The sequence below is a fragment of the Homo sapiens genome, chromosome 8 (genome assembly GCF_000001405.40).
Source record: "Homo sapiens chromosome 8, GRCh38.p14 Primary Assembly".
NCBI classification, from domain to species: domain Eukaryota; kingdom Metazoa; phylum Chordata; class Mammalia; order Primates; family Hominidae; genus Homo; species Homo sapiens.
The window spans coordinates 138699762-138717675 of NC_000008.11; the positions used below are offsets into that span (position 1 = coordinate 138699762).

The window sequence follows — 17914 nt, forward strand, 5'->3', positions numbered from 1 at the left end:
TCTGACTCTCATGTTCTGGCATCTCAAATAATTCTGTTCTCCTCAAAACCACCAGCTACTCTCTGTGTTACTGAAGAATTAACTTTTCCCAGAGATGCCTGGCCTTTGCTCTTAGCTATGAGAGGTGACTTCTAGGCCCCTGGAATGTCCTGCCTGACCCTGGAGCCAGCTCCCTGCAAGGCCCTTTCTCCACCTGTTTTCAGGACAAGCCCAGCAGCCCAGATCCCTGACAGTGATGAACGCGATGGGGCTGAGTCCTCACCCCACCCAGTCCAGGCTCCCAGGCCACACTGGACATTGCCCTCCAGGCCGAGGCACACTGGGCACCCCGAGGCACCGCTACTACTTACGGGCATCCGTGGATGTGGTGTGAACAGGGATGTCTGAAAAGGAAACCACAGAGATTAGAAAGATGGGCATCAAGGAACCCAGTGTTTCATTTTTAAAACCTGCCTTGGAGAGATTTACAAGTGAAAGAATACAGCCCCAAAGCTTCCTGGAACGATTATTAGTTTTGACAATTAGATTCACATCTTTCTTTAAAATCCCTGGCTATTTATTTATTAAGGCAGAAATGCATAGTGGTTAGATTCCGGAGCCCTGGAGGCAAAAGACCTGAGCTCCAAACCCTGTGTGACCTTGGACATGTCTCCTCAGCTTCTATGTCCCCATCGGTAAAACGGGAAAGAAACATTCTTCCCTGCAGGTGTCCATAAGAGCTCTGCCAGGACACTGGATTCATGTCACAATGTCTCCTTCTCACTACTGCCATCTGCTGGGCATCAGGCAGGGATGCAGGTGCGTAGTAGACAAGGTTGGGGAGAGTAGGAGAGGAGGGGAAATCCCTGCTTGACAGAGCCCAGGCTACAAAGACTCTGGCGGACTGGCCCCTGCAGGCTCCTTCAGCCTGGCCACCCCCACCTAGGCTGTGTTTAAGGCTAGGTCGGGCGCGGTGGCTCACGCCTGAAATCCCAGCACTTTGGGAGGCCAAGGCGGGCGGATCACGAGGTCAGGAGATTGAGACCGCCCTGGCTAACATGGTGAAACCCAGTCTCTACTAAAAAATACAAAAAATTAGCTAGGCGTGATGCCGGGTGCCTGTAGTCCCAGCTACTCGGGAGGCTGAGGCAGGAGAATGGCATGAACCCAGGAGGCGGAGCTTGCAGTGAGCCCAGATCACGCCACTGCACTCCATCCAGCCTGGGCGACACAGCGAGACTCCGTCTCAAAAAAAAAAAAAAAAAAAAAAAGGCTTCTCAGGTGTCATGCTTTCTCCAGCTTCAAAGCTTTTGCAAATACTGTTCCCCTTGCCTGGAACATACTCTCCTCTCCCTTTCTATGACTAAGGTCATATGGAGACCTGCAGGTGTCTTTTAAATGTCGTGTCTTCACGGATCCCTCTTCCCTCTCCACCATGCAAATATAATTTGGGTCCCCATGTTATTCTTGTTGATGCATCTTGTTCTTTTCCTGGATCACATTTACTATAATTTGCAATGTAGCTATATCTTTGCCACTGTAGGGTTAGTTTATCTTCTTGACTAGGCTACAAGCCCTGACAGATCTGATCCATGCAGATGCCTGGGTCCCAGCACGGGCCCGAAAGAAGCAGTAAATGGACAAAAAACATCATAGATAATGGTCCTAAACCACAATACATTAAAAAAAGATGGAAAAAAGTAGCTTCCTATATCTTGCCCTCCATGTCCCCAACCCCTGTCCCTTTTCTAGAAGGCACTGTTTTTCAGTTTACCATATTTTTAACTATTTCCTATATATTTCCACACAATTATAAATGTTTAGAAATATATAACTTTGTGCAAGTTATACAAATAGTAACAGCGACTACAGATGATTACTTACAGCCATTGAGAGGCCTTCACTCATGTGGTCTCACAATAACTCTAAGAGGTGGACTATCTGTTTCTGTCCTGCCTTATGGATAAGAAAATTGGAGGACACAGAAGTAAACCACAGAATGAAGTTCAAGCTGCTAGTGAATGTCAGGACAGAAACTGGCGTCCACATAGGTGGCCTGGGGAGCCTGTGTTCTTATCTTTCAATATGCAGTGATTGACTAATAGATTTTTTCTACTTAATTTGCCTAGTTCCACTTAATTTGAGTATCACTATCTTTTCAAGACCATACACATATTGTACGCATATTAATTTGTAGAATTCCATGATACAGATATTTTGTGATTCACTTAACTTTGTGCTTATGATCATGTGGTCTGTTCTAACTTTTTATTGTCATAAGTGATACTACAATGTACATCCTTATACATGCTTTTAAAAATGCACACATACAAATATTTCTGCAGGATAAATGCCTAGACATGGAATATCTAAGCTTAGGGGTAGGCACTTTGTGATATATTGGTACTGCCAAGTAACTTCTCAAATAGGTGTGTCCAATCTGTTCTACCACCAAAAAGGTATGAGACTGCTTGCTGCCCTGCACCCCTGCCAATGCTGTAGGTTATCAATCTTAAACAAAAATTTGATATGACTAATTCCGACTCTAAAGTTGTGATCCCAATTTCTTCCAACACCCTTATGGAATGTCTGAGTCTCATTTTGATGAGCATTGCTGGGGAGGAGACAGAGCTGTGGAATAATGATTTCGGTGTGATGAAAAGCACAGAGTAAGATTCTTTGCCACACTACAAATGGGATTTCTGAGTGCACAGGCTCTCTCCTCTCCTGGCATCCCCTGCAAGGGCCAGTAACTGGCCAACTCCTGATACATGTTTAGGGTCAGGGCCAGCCCAAGAAGCCATGTGCAAACTTCCCTGAAATCAGCTGGTCAAAACAGAGGATCTCAAGATGAGGAAGAAACATTAAAGTGGAAAAAAAAAAAAGAAAAAGAAAAATGTGCTCCCATTATACAGTTCTTGGGAGTAAGATAAATAATAATAATAGCAATTTTTAAGATTTTTAATATTTATAATGCACCAGAAACTCTGCCAAATATTTTGTAGTTTCAATTAACTTTCACTCCACATGTACAAGATAGCTGGGTATAATATTTTCTAACAGACGAGAAAACTGACTTTGTTAGACCATAACTATGACCACAATGCTGGTGAATGACAGAGCTGGGAGCCAGGTCTTCATGCCCTCAAAGCCCACACTCTTACTGATACTCAATACCAACTCACCATGCCCACCCTAACACGTATAGAGGGCCAATGAATGAAGCCCAGTTCCTGGGTCATGGTAGTGCAGTCTTACGCTGGGCAAACTGCTTCTTGTCTCTGGACCTCAGTTTCCCCATATGTGACAGGCAGATATGTATTCTCAGTATCTAGCACCCATTCTGATAAATAATTGTGCTTTTGCTGAATAAATCAATAAGCATAGGATGGTTCTTAGAGAAGTGTATATATTTTTGGTTTGTAGGACCTAGGAATAGGCCTAGCTATTGGCAAACTCCAATAGGGGAGATATTTAAAACTAAGTAGTGGCAGTTGCTGGAGGGGGAGTACGAATCCCAATATAGGAATTCAGAGGAGAAAGAATTAGAAGCGGAGTAACTTACAGTTCCAGGTAACCCGGGAGGGCCTGCAGGACCAGCTTCACCCTAGATGGAGAAATGGAAAATCCATGACCATTAATCTTCCTCCCAACTCTGCTTATGCTGCAACAGATCAGCTAACACTATTTTCCCCAGACAACAGAAGGTGTTGTCTTCTGCAGGGTGCAGGTAGGTGCACCCTGCACCTACCTTGATAGATACATACATACATAATTACATATGTACATTCCAAATTATAAACTATTTCAGACATATAAAAACATTGTTTTCAGAAGTATCCATATTGATATGCGTAGTGGTAGATCATTTATATCACTATATACTATTCTATTGTGTAAATGGTAATAAAGTGAAGGGGGATCCAAGGTGGCTGAATAGGAACAGCTCCAGTCTACAGCTCCCAGTGTGAGTAATGCAGAAGACAGGTGATTTATGCATTCCAGCTGAGGTACCAGGTTCATCTCACTGGGGCTTTTTGGACAGTGTGTGCAGCCCACGGAGTGTGAGCCAAAGCAGGGCAGGGCATTGCCTCACCCAGGAGGCACAAAGAGTTGGGGAATTCCCTTCCCTAGCCAAGGGAACCCGTGACAGATTGTAACTGGAAAATTGGGACACTCCCACCCTAATACTGTGCTTTTCCAACAGTCTTAGCAAACGGCACACCAGAAGAATATATCCCGCACCTGGCTCAGAAGGTCCCACGTCCACAGAGCCTCACTCACTGCTAGCGCAGCAGTCTGAGATCAAACTGCAAGGTGGCAGCGAGGCTGGGGGAGGGGCGCCCGCCATTGCTGAGGTTTGAGTAGGTAAACAAAGCAGCCGGGAGGCTCGAACTGGGTGGAGCCAACCACAGCTTAAGGAGGCCTGCCTGCCTCTATAGACTCCACCTCTGGGGGCAGGGCATAGCCGAACAAAAGGCAGCAGAAACTTCTGAAGACTTAAATGTCCCTGTTTGACAGCTTTGAAGAGAGTAGTGGTTCTCCCAGCACGGAGTTTGAGATCTAAGAACAGACAGACTGCCTCCTCAAGTGGGTCCCTAAACCCCAAGTAGCCTAATTGGGAGACACCTCCCAGTAGGGGCCAACTGAAACCTCATACAGCCAGATGCCCCTCTGAGACGAAGCTTCCAGAGGAAGGATCAGGCAGCAACATTTGCTGTTCTGCAATATTTGCTGTTCTGCAGCCTCCGCTGCTGATACCCAGGCAAACAGCGTCTGGAGTGGACCTCCAGAAAACTTCAACAGACCTGCAGCTGAGGGTCCTGACTGTTAGAAGGAAAACTAACAAACAGAAAGGACATCCACACCAACCCCATCTGTACATCACCATCATCAAAGACCAAAGGTAGATAAAACCACAAAGATGGGGAGAAACCAGAGCAGAAAAGCTGAAAATTCTAAAAATCAGAGCGCCTCGCCTCCTCCAAAGGAATGCAGCTCCTCGCCAGCAATGGAACAAAGCTGGATTGAGAATGACTTTGATGAGTTGATAGAAGTAGGCTTCAGACGATCGGTAATAACAAACTTCACTGAGCTAAAGGAGGATGTTCGAACCCATTGCAAAGAAGCTAAAAACCTTGAAAAAAGATTAGACGAATGGCTAACTAGAATAAACAGCATAGAGAAGACCTTAAATAACCTGATGGAGCTGAAAACCATGGCATGAGAACTACGTGATGCATGCCCAAGCTTCAGTAGCTGATTCAATCAAGTGGAAGAAAGGGTATCAATGATTGAAGATCAAATGAATGAAATGAAGCAAGAAGAGAAGTTTAGAGAAAAAAAGAGTAAAGACAAATGAACAAAGCCTCCAGGAAATATGGGACTATGTGAAAAGACCAAATCTACACCTGATTGGTGTACCTGAAAGTGACGGGGAGAATGGAACCAAGTTGGAAAACACTCTTCAGGATATTATCCAGGAGAACTTCCCCAACTTAGCGAGGCAGGCCAACGTTCAAATTCAGGAAATACAGAGAACACCACAAAGATACTCCTCGAGAAGAGCAACTCCAAGACACATAATTGTCAGATTCACCAAAGTTGAAATGAAGGAAAAAATGTTAAGGGCAGCCAGAGGGAAAGGTCGGTTTACCACAAAGGGAAGCTCATCAGACTAACAGCGGATCTCTCAGCAGAAACTCTACAAGCCAGAAGAGAGTAGGGGCCAATATTCAACATTCTTAAAGAAAAGAATTTTCAACCCAGAATTTCATATCCAGCCAAACTAAGCTTCATAAGTGAAGGAGAAATAAAATCCTTTACAGACAAGCAAATGCTGAGAGATTTTGTCACCACCAGGCCTGCCTTATGAGAGCTCTTGAAGGAAGCACTAAACATGGAAAGGAATAACCGGTACCAGCCACTGCAAAAACATGCCAAATTGTAAACACCACCCATGCTAGGAAGAAACTGCATCAACTAATGAGCAAAATAACCAGCTAACATCATAATGACAGGATCAAATTCACACATAACAATATTAACCTTAAATGTAAATGGGCTAAATGCTCCAATTAAAAGACACAGACTGGCAAATTGGATAAAGAGTCAAGACCCATCAGTGTGCTGTATTCAGGAGACCCATCTCACATGCAGAGACACACATAGGCTCAAAACAAAGGGATAGAGGAAGATCTACCAAGCAAATGGAAAGCAAAAAAAACCAGGGGTTGCAATCCTAGTCTCTGATAAAACAAAACGGACTTTAAAGCAACAAAGATCAAAACAGACAAAGAAGGCCATTACATAATAGTAGAGGGATCAATTCAACAAGAAGAGCTAACTATCCTAAATATATATGCACCCAATACAGGAGCACCCAGATTCATAAAGCAAGTCCTTAGAGACCTACAAAAAGACTTAGACTCCCACACAATAATAATGGGAGACTTTAACACCCCACTGTCAACATTAGACAGATCAACAAGACAGAAAGTTAACAAGGATATCTAGTACTTGAACTCAGCTCTGCACCAAGCAGACCTAATAGACATCTACAGAACTCTCCACCCCAAATCAACAGAATATACATTCTTCTCAGCACCACATCTCATTCATTCCAAAATTGGCCACATAGTTGGAAGTAAAGCACTCCTCAGCAAATGTGAAAGAACAGAAATTATAACAAACTGTCTCTCAGACCACAGTGCAATCAAACTAGAATGCAGGATTAAGAAACTCACTCAAAACCACTCAACCACATGGAAACTGAACAACCTGCTCCTAAATGACTACTGGCTACATAACAAAATGAAGGCAGAAATAAAGATGTTCTTTGAAACCAATGAGAACAGAGACACAACATACCAGAATCTCTGGGACACATTCAAAGCAGTGTGTAAAGGGAAATTTATAGCACTAAATGCCCACAAGAGAAAGCAGGAAAGATCTAAAATTGACACCCTAACATCACAATTAAAAGAACTAGAGAAGCAAGAGCAAACACATTCAAAAGCTAGCAGAAGGCAAGAAATAACTAAGGTCAGAGCAGAACTGAAGGAGATAGAGACACAAAAAACCCTTCAAAAAACCAATGAATCCAGAAGCTGGTTTTTTGAACAGATCAACAAAATTGATAGACCACTAGCAAGACTAATAAAGAAGAGAAGAGAGAGAATCAAATAGATGCAATAAAAAATGATAAAGGGGATATCACCACCGATCGCACAGAAATACAAACTACCATCAGAGAATACTATAAACACTTCTATGCAGATAAACTAGAAAATCTAGAAGAAATGGATAAACTCCTGGACACATACGCCCTCCCAATACTAAACCAGGAAGAAGCTGAATCCCTGAATAGAACAATAACAGGCTCTGAAATTGAGGCAATAATTAATAGCCTACCAACCAAAAACAGTCCAGGACCAGATGCATTCACAGCCGAATTCTACCAGAGGTACAAAGAGGAGCTGGTACCATTCCTTCTGAAACTATTCCAATCAATAGAAAAAGAAGGAATCCTCCCTAATTCATTTTATGAGGCCAGCATCATCCTGATACCAAAGCTTGGCAGAGACACAACAAAAAAAGAGAATTTTAGACCAATATCCCTGATGAACATCGATGCAAAAATCCTCAATAAAATATGGCAAACCGAATCCGGCAGCACATCAAAAAGCTTATCCATCATGATCAAATTGGCTTCATCCCTGGGATGCAAGGCTGGTTCAACATATGCAAATCAATAAATGTAATCCATCATATAAACAGAACCAAAGACAAAAACCACATGATTATGTCAATAGATGCAGAAAAGGCCTTTGACAAAATTCAACAACGCTTCATGCTAAAACTCTCAATATATTAGGTATTGATGGGACGTATCTCAAAATAATAAGAGCTATTTATGACAAACCCACAACCAATATCATACTGAATGGGCAAAAACTGGAAGCACTCCCTTTGAAAACTGGCACAAGATAGGGATGCCCTCTCTCACCACTCCTATTCAACATAGTGTTGGAAGTTCTGGCCAGTGCGATCAGGCAGGAAAAAGAAATATAGGGTATTCAATTAGGAAAAGAGGAAGTCAAATTGTCCCTGTTTGCAGATGACATGATTGTATATTTAGAAAACCCCATCATCTCAGCCCAAAATCTCCTTAAGCTGAGAAGCAACTTCAGCAAAGTCTCAGGATACAAAATCAACGTGCAAAAATCACAAGCATTCCTATACACCAATAACAGAAAAACAGAGAGCCAAATCACGAGTGAACTCCCATTCACAATTGCTTCAAAGAGAATAAAATACCTAGGAATCCAACTTACAAGGGACATGAAGGACCTCTTCAAGGAGAACTACAAACCACTGCTCAAGGAAATAAAAGAGGACACAAACAAATGGAAGAACATTCCATGCTCATGGATAGGAAGAATCAATATTGTGAAAATGGCCATACTGCCTAAGGTAATTTATAAATTCAATGCCATCCCCATCAAGCTACCAATGACTTTCTTCACAGAATTGGAAAAAACTACTCTAAAGTTCATAGGGAACCAAAAAAGAGCCCACTTTGCCAAGACAATCCTAAGCCAAAAGATCAAAGCTGGAGGCATCAGGCTACCTGATTTCAAACTATACTAAAAGGCTACAGTAACCAAAACAGCATGGTACTGGTACCAAAACGGAGATATAGACCAATGGAACAGAACAGAGCCCTCAGAAATAATACCACACATCTACAACCATCTGATCTTTGACAAACATGACAAAAACAAGAAATGGGAAAAGGATTCCCTATTTAACAAATGGTGCTGGGAAAACTGGCTAGCCATATGTAGAAAGCTGAAACTGGATCCCTTCCTTACACCTTATACAAAAATTAATTCAAGATGGGTTAAAGACTTAAACATTAGACCTAAAACCATAAAAACCCTAGAAGAAAACCTAGGCAATACCATTCAGGACACAGGCATGGGCAAGGACTTCATGACTAAAACACCAAAAGTAATGGCAACAAAAGCCAAAATTGACAAATGGGATCTCATTAAACTAAAGAGCTTCTGCACAGCAAAAGAAACTACCATTAGAGTGAACAGGCAACCTACAGAATGGGAGAAAATTTTCACAATCTACCCATCTGACAAAGGGCTAATATCCAGAATCTACAAAGAACTTAAACAAATTTACAAGAAAAAAATCAAAAAACCCCATCAAAAATGGGCAAAGGATATGAACAGACACTTCTCAAAAGAAGACATTTATGCAGCCAACAGACACATGAAAAAATGCTCATCATTGCTGGTCATCAGAGAAATGCTAATCAAAACCACAATGAGATACCATCTCACACCAGTTAGAATGGGGAACATTAAAAAGTCAGGAAACAACAGGTGCTGGAGAGGATGTGGAGAAATAGGAACACTTTTACACTGTTGGTGGGACTGTAAACTAGTTCAACCATTGTGGAAGACAGTGTGGCGATTCCTCAAGGATCTAGAACTAGAAATACCATTTGACCCAGCCATCCCATTTCTAGGTATATACCCAAAGGATTATAAATCATGCTGCTATAAAGACACATGCACACGTATGTTTATTGCAGCACTATTCACAATAGCAAAGACTTGGAACCAACCCAAATGTCCATCAATGATAGACTGGATTAAGAAAATGTGGCACATATACACCATGGAATACTACGCAGCCATAAAAAGGATGAGTTCATGTCCTTTGTAGGGACATGGATGAAGCTGGAAATCATCATTCTTAGCAAACTATCGCAAGGACAGAAAACCAAACACCCCATGTTCTCACTCATAGGTGGGAATTGAACAATGAGAACACTTGGACACAGAGTGGGGAACATCACACACTGGGGCCTGTAGTAGGGTGGGGGGAGGGGGAAGTGATAGCATTAGGAGATATACCTAATGTAAATGACAAGTTAATGGTGGCAGCACACCAACATGGCACATGTACACATATCTAACAAACCTGCATCTTGTGCACATGTACCCTAGAACTTAAAGTATAATAAAAAAGGTAATAAAGTTATTTCTTATCCATCTTCCTGTTGATGACATTTATGTGGTTTTCCTCTGATTGCAATCATAACTAATGTTGATTTGTTACAGCAAATATCCTCACACACATGCCCTGAGCACAATTACACATTTGAAGTCCAGCTGTCCTAGGGATGCCAGCAGGCCCTGCCCCACCCCCATGAAGGAGTGGGCTCTTCTCAGGAACCTGGGGGGAACAGTGTTACATTCCTATAAGCAACACAGGCTTGGGAGTTGAATCACCTGAGCTTGAAACCTAACTATACCATTTTATAAATTATTTTACCTACTTTGGCATGTTTTCTCTTTGCAGAACAATGATGCTGATAATACATACAGCTCACAGCATGGCACAGAGATTGAGCAAGACCGTAAGGAGTACGGTGTTATTACATTTGGCCTGAGGAAAGGACGTCACTGAGCTGCTCCACGCAAGACAGTCCATGGTGAGTGGATACAGTTTCCAAAGCCTGTCATTTCATGTGTGCCACATGGTCCCAGGGGACAGGTGTCTATGTCTAGATCTGCTTCTTGAACCAGCCCAGGACTGGCTCTCTTGCAAGCCTTCCAAATATGGTTATGAAATAGAAAAATGTTTGAATATAGTTGGCTTAGAGAGAGACAAGTTCGCCCTTAGTCAACAACAATAATATGATTATAAAATGTTGTATCCTTTTCTACCATTATTTCTATTGTTATTTAGCATTTGATTCCAGCTCCTGGTTTAAGTAGTTTCCATGTGTGAATCCATTTCATCTTTGTAGCAATGCCCATAATCTATCTATCTATCTATCTATATATATATATCTCCATTTCACAGATGAAGAAACTGAGGCATAAAAATGTCAATGAACCTGCCCTAAGTCACACATTCTGCAAATGGCCGAACCTGGTTTTAAGCTCAGAATGCATGCCCTTTACAATTGTGTGGCATTGCTCTGACTAAAGTTCCAGTAGCTTCAGAAACAAAAGCACTTTCTTGGTGTTACTGTGTATTATTTGATTTTACCCAATTCTCTTCCTGACATTGTTGAACTCAAGCTCCAGAACCAATCTCATCTAAACCAATTTACTCTCCATTAAAATGTCCCAATGATCAAAGTTAAGTGTTTTCCCAGTTGAATATATGAATGGGTATCAATGAGAAGAGGGCTGGAGGAGAGATGTGTCTCTCACCCTGAGGGCATGAAGACTGCCTTTTGGAAATAGCCTCCTCATCCTGAGGGCTGTGGACAAGGGAAGAACAGCGAGCTGGAGCAGGTAGACCCATGGGGGCTCTCTGCCTTTGGAAAAGAGGCTTGACTAAGAAGGATCAATGGGTGTTAGGGTTGATGCAACAGGCCTGGGTTCTAATCCCAGCTCCTCCATGACGTGTTTGACTGTCAGCGCCCCTTGCTGGAACAGGAGCATCACACACACCCTTCCCTGATGCTGTGGGCCTAAGTGCCAGTAATGGGGAAGAACAGGGGACGTGAAGGGAGAAGCAGAGGCAGAGACAGGCAAAGCACAGTCAGAAGAGGGCAATGTTGCCTTAATGTCTTCTTTTGGATTTTCTGACCAAAATTGTCAATTATCACATATTTCTCTGGAGGAAAAGAAAGGCAAACCAGATTCTTTGGAAGCTTGAATGTGACTGCCATGGCCCTGGCAATTCCGTCCAAGTAATCAAAGGGGCTTTATGGTCTCGCTAAGCCTTTGCATTCTGGAAATGAGTTTCTCAAATAGAAACTGCATTTCTGAAAAGTCCACGGCAGCAGCAGGCCTGAATGGCTTACTGAGGCAGAGCCTTTTCCACTCTGGGCTCTCTATTTATAGACCGCAAGTCTGCCTGGAGCAAAGTCCTCAGCCTCCAGCCCCAGAGAAGGAGGATGGGAGACACTGCCTGGAGCCCAGAAAGCACCTGCGCAGAAAAAGATCTGGAAATTGGAGGGGAGAAAGTAAACTTGGGAGAATGGGGCACCCTGAAAAGCATCATGCAGGAGGAGGAAGGATGCAAGAGCCCTCTGGGTGTGTGGGTGCCATTCCTCCTGAGGCAGCCCCAGGGCAGGCCTAGCGTGTGGCATTCTGTGCTAAGAGCCAGGACTTTCTATGTGCACTGGCAGGGTTTAGATCTTGACTCTAAACCTCTATTCATGCAGCTCTGCACAAGCAACTTAGCTTTTCTGTGCCTCTGTTTCCTCATCTATCAAGTGGGGATGTTGTTGACAGCAGTGACCCCTCATGGGGTTGGCCTGAGATTACCTAAGTCCCTACACAGACGGTGCTCAGGACAGTCCTGCACTCAGTGAGCCTGCCACAAGTCATCCACCAACAGGAAATCCTTATGCTCTTTAACAACTCTGAGGGTCCTTGTTGGACTGGCAAACCAAGGCACAGGAAGGTCAGGGAAGATGCCACACAGCAGATAGAACCAGGACCATACTCCAGGCCAGCATTATGGGTCCAAGAATGGTGCTCTTTCTACTAAGCTGCAGGCAAGCACAAATAAACTCCTATGAGGGGTTTGGGGCAGGTGTTTATAAAGTTGCCGTGGAACTAGAGGTGCATTTGGTCAGAACTGAGCATGAAACAGCAAGAAAAGCAAGTGCCTGGTACAGCACCTTACTCAGGGTGGGACTCCCAACCCTGTCCATGCCTGTACCCCCTTTAGAGCCAGTAGAGGGTAATGGTTCTATCAGCATCTATCAGCAGGGTGTATGTGTTCTACCAGCAGAGAGTACATGTTCTATCAGCAAAGAGTACGTGTTCTATCAGCAGAGGGTAAGGGTTCTACCAGCAGAGAGCATATGTTCTCCTCAGCAGAGGGTACATGTTCTATCAGCAGAGGGTATGTGTTCTATCAGCATAGGGTAAGGGTTCTGCCAGCAGAGGGTAAGTATTCTACAAACAGAGAGTGAGGGTTCTACCAGCACAGGGCAAGTGTTCTACCAACAGAGGGTACATGTTCTATCAGCAGAGGGTACATGTTCTATCAGTAGAGGGTATGTATTCTATCAGCAGAGGGTAAGTGTTCTACCAGCAGAGGGTAAGGGTTCTACCAGCAGAGGGTAAGTATTCTACAAACAGAGAGTGAGGGTTCTACCAGCAGAGGGTACATGTTCTATCAGCAGAGGGTACGTGTTCTATCAGTCTTCTTAGACAATGACTGTCAGAGCAAATGGACGTATCTTTGGTGAAAGGGTAAGAACTAGAAGCACAAGTTAGAATCTAGTAGAAAGGATGTCAGTCATTGTGGTTGAAAGCACGTATTTTAGAGCCCAACTGTCTGGACTCACACCCACCCTCACTCTGTAAGCCTGGGCAGAAAACATAGTGGAATTTTTAGAGACCTGCTTGGCAAAAGAGCCCTTCGACTGACGAACTACAGTTGTGTGAACCCCCTATGTCTGGTGGACTCCTGGGGTGTGATGAGGTTTTGTCGTGGATGGGGTGGGGGGGCGGTGCTTTAGCCTGGAGTCAGCATGTGGTCCCAGCCAAGCTTTGGTTCTGTGAGTGTGGGTAAGACAGTACATCTCTCTATGCCTTAGTTCTTTCACCTATAAACTGGGGGTTAAGACGAAAATGACTTCATAGTTCATTGTTATGAAGATCACCAGAGTGAGCAACGGAAAACTCAAGAAATTGCAACTTGCAAAACATACTGAGTATACGGAACCCATGATTTCCCCGCACGCTGTTCAAGCTCACTCTGCTTTAGCAAAGGATCTTGTGTTTCAGACAAATAGGCCCGTGGACAAACATCTCGTGCATGTGCGGTTTTGGCAACAGCTCACGCATGTGTCAAACTAATCAGCGATTTTCCAGTGGACAAATTCTGACCAAATCATGCTGACTCCAGTCTAAAGCCTCACCCCTGACTCCATCCACAACAAAACCTCATCACACCCTATGAGTCCACCCCCACCGCCCCGCCGTAGGGGGTTCATGCAACTGCAGTTGTCTCACCAAGCAGATCTCTAAAAATTCCATTATGTTTTCTGATCAGCACAGGTTTCTCTGGGGCTTTGACATGAGCTGAAATATTATAGATGAAGTACCTACTTGCACCTCTAGACCAGACACTATCCTGGGTGCTGGCTTGGCTCCTGAGTGGGGGCTGCTCTTCTAAGAAGGGGCTGGGACCAGGGATCCAAGTCCTTAGGAGGTGAAAATAGTAAGGGACTTTCCTTCCCGGACCACGTGTGCCAAGTTAGGGTTCATCATACTCTCCAACCTGTTTTTGTAAAAGAAGGTTGGAGAGAGTAGGCATACATCCTCTGTTACACTGTGATTTAAAAAGTGCATTCTTCCTCCTTGAACCTGCCCGCATGTTGCCAAAGGCAAGTGGCAGTCTGGAGCCTCCCTCCAAAGCAATCAGAGTCAGACCCTGTGGGCTGGGCTGGCCATGCAGTCCCACCCGTGGTTCTGTAGGTTAGGCGTGTATCAAAATCTCTCTGAGTCTCAGCTCTTTTCACGTGCAAAACACGCTTATGGATACCAGTGGCTGTTTTCTGTTTGTCCCTTTATATCCACTCCTGTTCCTTTCTCCATCCCAGGAGGCAACCTCAGTGGTCTCATTGACCTCATCCCCTGGATCCCAGTGGTCTAGTAGGAGATGGAGAGGACAGAGAAGGACGGGATGAGATGCTGAGGATGTCAGGCCAAGGAGAACTGGTTTTGTCTGTTTTTCTGCCCAGAATGACTGCCAGGCTCCTTCTATGGCTGCCAGCCTCTCTGGACTCTGGGACAGCTCCCTCCCCTTGTCCTTTCCCACTCTTGCTCTTCCTAGTCCTGGAGGGTATGGCCACATCCCATCGGCTTCCCTAAGCACTGTCCACAACCTGCAATTACTCTGTCATTGAATTCTCTTCCACTGTCCATTTTGATTGTGCTGCTCCTGATGGACATGGTGTCTGCCTGGAAGACAATGCCAACGAAGCCTCTCTGTGCACTTCAGGGCACACAGTAGGGCTCCACAAATGCCATGATGCCCCCTTGATTTAGATACAGTCTGCCTGGACTCAGGCTGGCTCCAGGGTCAACCACACAAGCAATGACACGCTGGGCTCATGAACGATGCAGGGGAAAGGATATAGGAGTCAGGGCACATGGGGTTTTTGCTCAGCTCGTTCTTCACACCCCGCTGGTGCCTCCATTGCCCTCACACCTGGGCTAATCATGTCTATTATACCTGTGAAAGGGGCAGTGGTGTTCAGAGAGAGATTGAACGTAAACAGGCGACACAGAGCACTCAGCACAGGACAGGAGCTCAGGCAGTGCTTGCATGTCACAGGCACAAAAGGGTGGATGGACGGATGGATAGTGAGATGAAGGTGTCAACTCCAATACTATTATCTTCTTTGTAAGTTTATAATTGCAAACAATAAAGTTTGAGGTTTATGTCTAGCGTATTATTTTCTCAAAAAGCAGCTGTGGAGTCATGAACGCAACTAAATTCTGCGGAAATGTAAAGATTCAGTACAGGCCGGGCATGGTGTCTCATGCCTGTAATCCCAGCACTTTGGAAACCCAAGGCAGACAGATCACCTGAGGTCAGGAGTTGCACAGGAGTTCAAGACCAGACTGGCTAACATGGAGAAATCTCGTCTCTACTAAAAACACAAAAATTAGCCAGGTGTGGTGGGGCATGCCTGTAATCCCAGCTACTTGAGAAGCTGAGGCACTAGAATGGCTTGAACCCAGGAGGCAGAGGTTGCAGTGAGACGAGATCATGCCACTGCACTCCCGCTTGGATGACAGAGAGAGACTCTCATTTTAAAAAAAAAAAAAAAAAAAAAAAGATAGAGTATATTCTGCAGAAAATCTCTTCCTTTAGAAAAACCCAACTAATAATAATTGATGGTCAGAATGAGAGCAAGTTTCTCCTACCTTTTCACCTCGGTCACCTTTCAGTCCTGGAAGTCCCAGTTCACCTTTTTCTCCCTATAATAAAAGATAAAATTAGAAAACATTAGAACCCAAACCGAGCTGAATTCCTGCCTCTTCAAGGTAAGAGCAACATGACTTTGGAAAAACATACATGTATATATTTCTCTCTCTCACTTGTCCTTGCCTTATCAGCAAAGTGGCCACAGTGAAGTGTAACTCAGAGGGGAACTAGTCAGTTAGGCGTGAAGCACCTCATTCTCCATTTGTCCCCTGACAGATGGTGCCTTCCACCCCTCAGCCCCATCTGCCTCCTCTGAAAATGCTCTGCCCTTTCCAGAGACATCTCCCAGCAATGGTCCTTTGTCCCAGCTCAAGGACCCAAGTAGTCTTATCCCCTTCCCCGTCCCTTCCATCAACACTGAGAAATACACTCTTCACCCAGTCAAAATTATGACTGTCCCGAGGGACTGAGACTCCACAGGGGGCTGCTCTCTGTGGAGATGGGCGAGGTTCCTGTGTGGGAGGAAGGAAGCTGCCACACTTACCTGGTCTCCTTTCTCTCCTCTCACACCTGGGAAGCCTGGAGCCCCTGGGAGGCCTGCTTCTCCCTGTGAGAACAAAATATTCACAAGGCGTCAACAGGAAGGCTCTCCCAGGGGCCAAGCTGCAGGCCATGTGCTCTCAGTTCCTGCTCTCCAGGAACTGGAGATGTTCTGGCTTAGTGGACATCACATGGAAAGCAATGCAGTGGAGAAAGCGGAATTCTAGAGAATTTCGTTCACTAGGGCATCCCCAAGCTCTTGTCTACTTCAGCTGTTTCCTTTCCCAGGAACCCTTATTTTGCCTCTCCTGGTGTCTAACCCTTCCTGTTTCTTTAGGACTCAGCAACAATGTCACCTTCTCAGCATCCTTTCTGACAGTCCCCAAGTCTGGGAAGCCCTCTCCTATGCCCCCAACACCTGCAGGCCACCACTCGTGACATCTGTTCAATTGTTCTTCAATGTCCAGTTTATCCTGGACATATAGTGAGCTCCCAAAAACCAGGATTAATTCCTCTTGGCATCTAAATAATTTATACAAGATGTAGCGTATAACAATGAATGAATGAATAAAATGAATGAATAAAAGCACAAACAAACAGACCTTCTCTCCAGGTCGGCCTGCCAGGCCCTGCTCCCCAATTTCTCCCTGAAAATGCAATAAAACATACCCCATTATTCTCCATTCACTTTAAAGAGATGACTGCCATTTCCCAGTTGTCCTCACACATTCATAGCACCTGCCAGCCACAACCCTTAATTTTCAAATATACGGCATGGTTAGAGGCCCAAGAGTCATGGGCTCTGAAGACCAAAGTGTTTAGCATTTTTGCAGAGCAGAATCCACTTTCTCATATAGTCTTTTGCTTTCCCCAAAAGAAACAACTCTTAGAACTGTCCCATTAGAATTTATTTTTTAATTTTTTTTTATTTTTTATTTTTTTTGAGACGGAGTCTCACTCAGTCACTCAGGCTGGAGTGCAGTGGCACCATCTCGGCTCACTGCAAGCTCTGCCTCCCGGGTTCACACCATTCTCCCACCTCAGCCTCCCGAGTAGCTGGGACTACAGGTGCCTGCCACCACGCCCAGCTAATTTTTTGTATTTTTAGTAGAGACAGGGTTTCACCATGTTAGCCAGGATGGTCTTGATCTCCTGACCTCGTGATCAGCCTGCCTCGGCCTCCCAAAGTGCTGGGATTACAGGAGTGAGCCACTGCGCCCGGCCAGAATTTATTTTTTTATTTTTAGTTTTAGTTTTTTTAGAGACAGGGTCTCACTCTGTCACCCAGGCTAGTACAGTGATGCAGTCATAGCTCATTGCAGCCTTGAGCTCTTGGGCTCAAAAAATTATCCCACCTCAACCTCCTGAGTAGATGGGACTATAGGCACATACCACCACTCACAAATGATTAAAAAAAAATTCTGTAGAGAAAGAGTCTCACTGTGTTGGCCAG

At 44.4% G+C, this 17914-nt stretch overlaps 1 protein-coding gene across 13 annotated transcripts in view; it reads right to left on the bottom strand.

Annotated features, from left to right (window-relative positions):
• COL22A1 (collagen type XXII alpha 1 chain) overlaps window positions 1-17914 on the bottom strand; it is a 325807-nt gene that overhangs the window by 111527 nt on the left and 196366 nt on the right. For 12 of the 13 annotated variants that reach the window (XM_017013150.3, XM_011516886.4, XM_011516884.3 and 9 more), the window contains 5 exons: window positions 17064-17108; window positions 16466-16528; window positions 15921-15974; window positions 3545-3586; window positions 351-383 (listed from right to left, as the gene is read on the bottom strand). In XM_017013150.3, coding sequence (XP_016868639.1) covers window positions 351-383; window positions 3545-3586; window positions 15921-15974; window positions 16466-16528; window positions 17064-17108 — 237 coding nt within the window. Of the gene's footprint in view, window positions 1-350; window positions 384-3544; window positions 3587-15920; window positions 15975-16465; window positions 16529-17063; window positions 17109-17914 lie in introns of those variants that run through there. The other variant, XR_001745487.2, reaches the window with a different exon arrangement.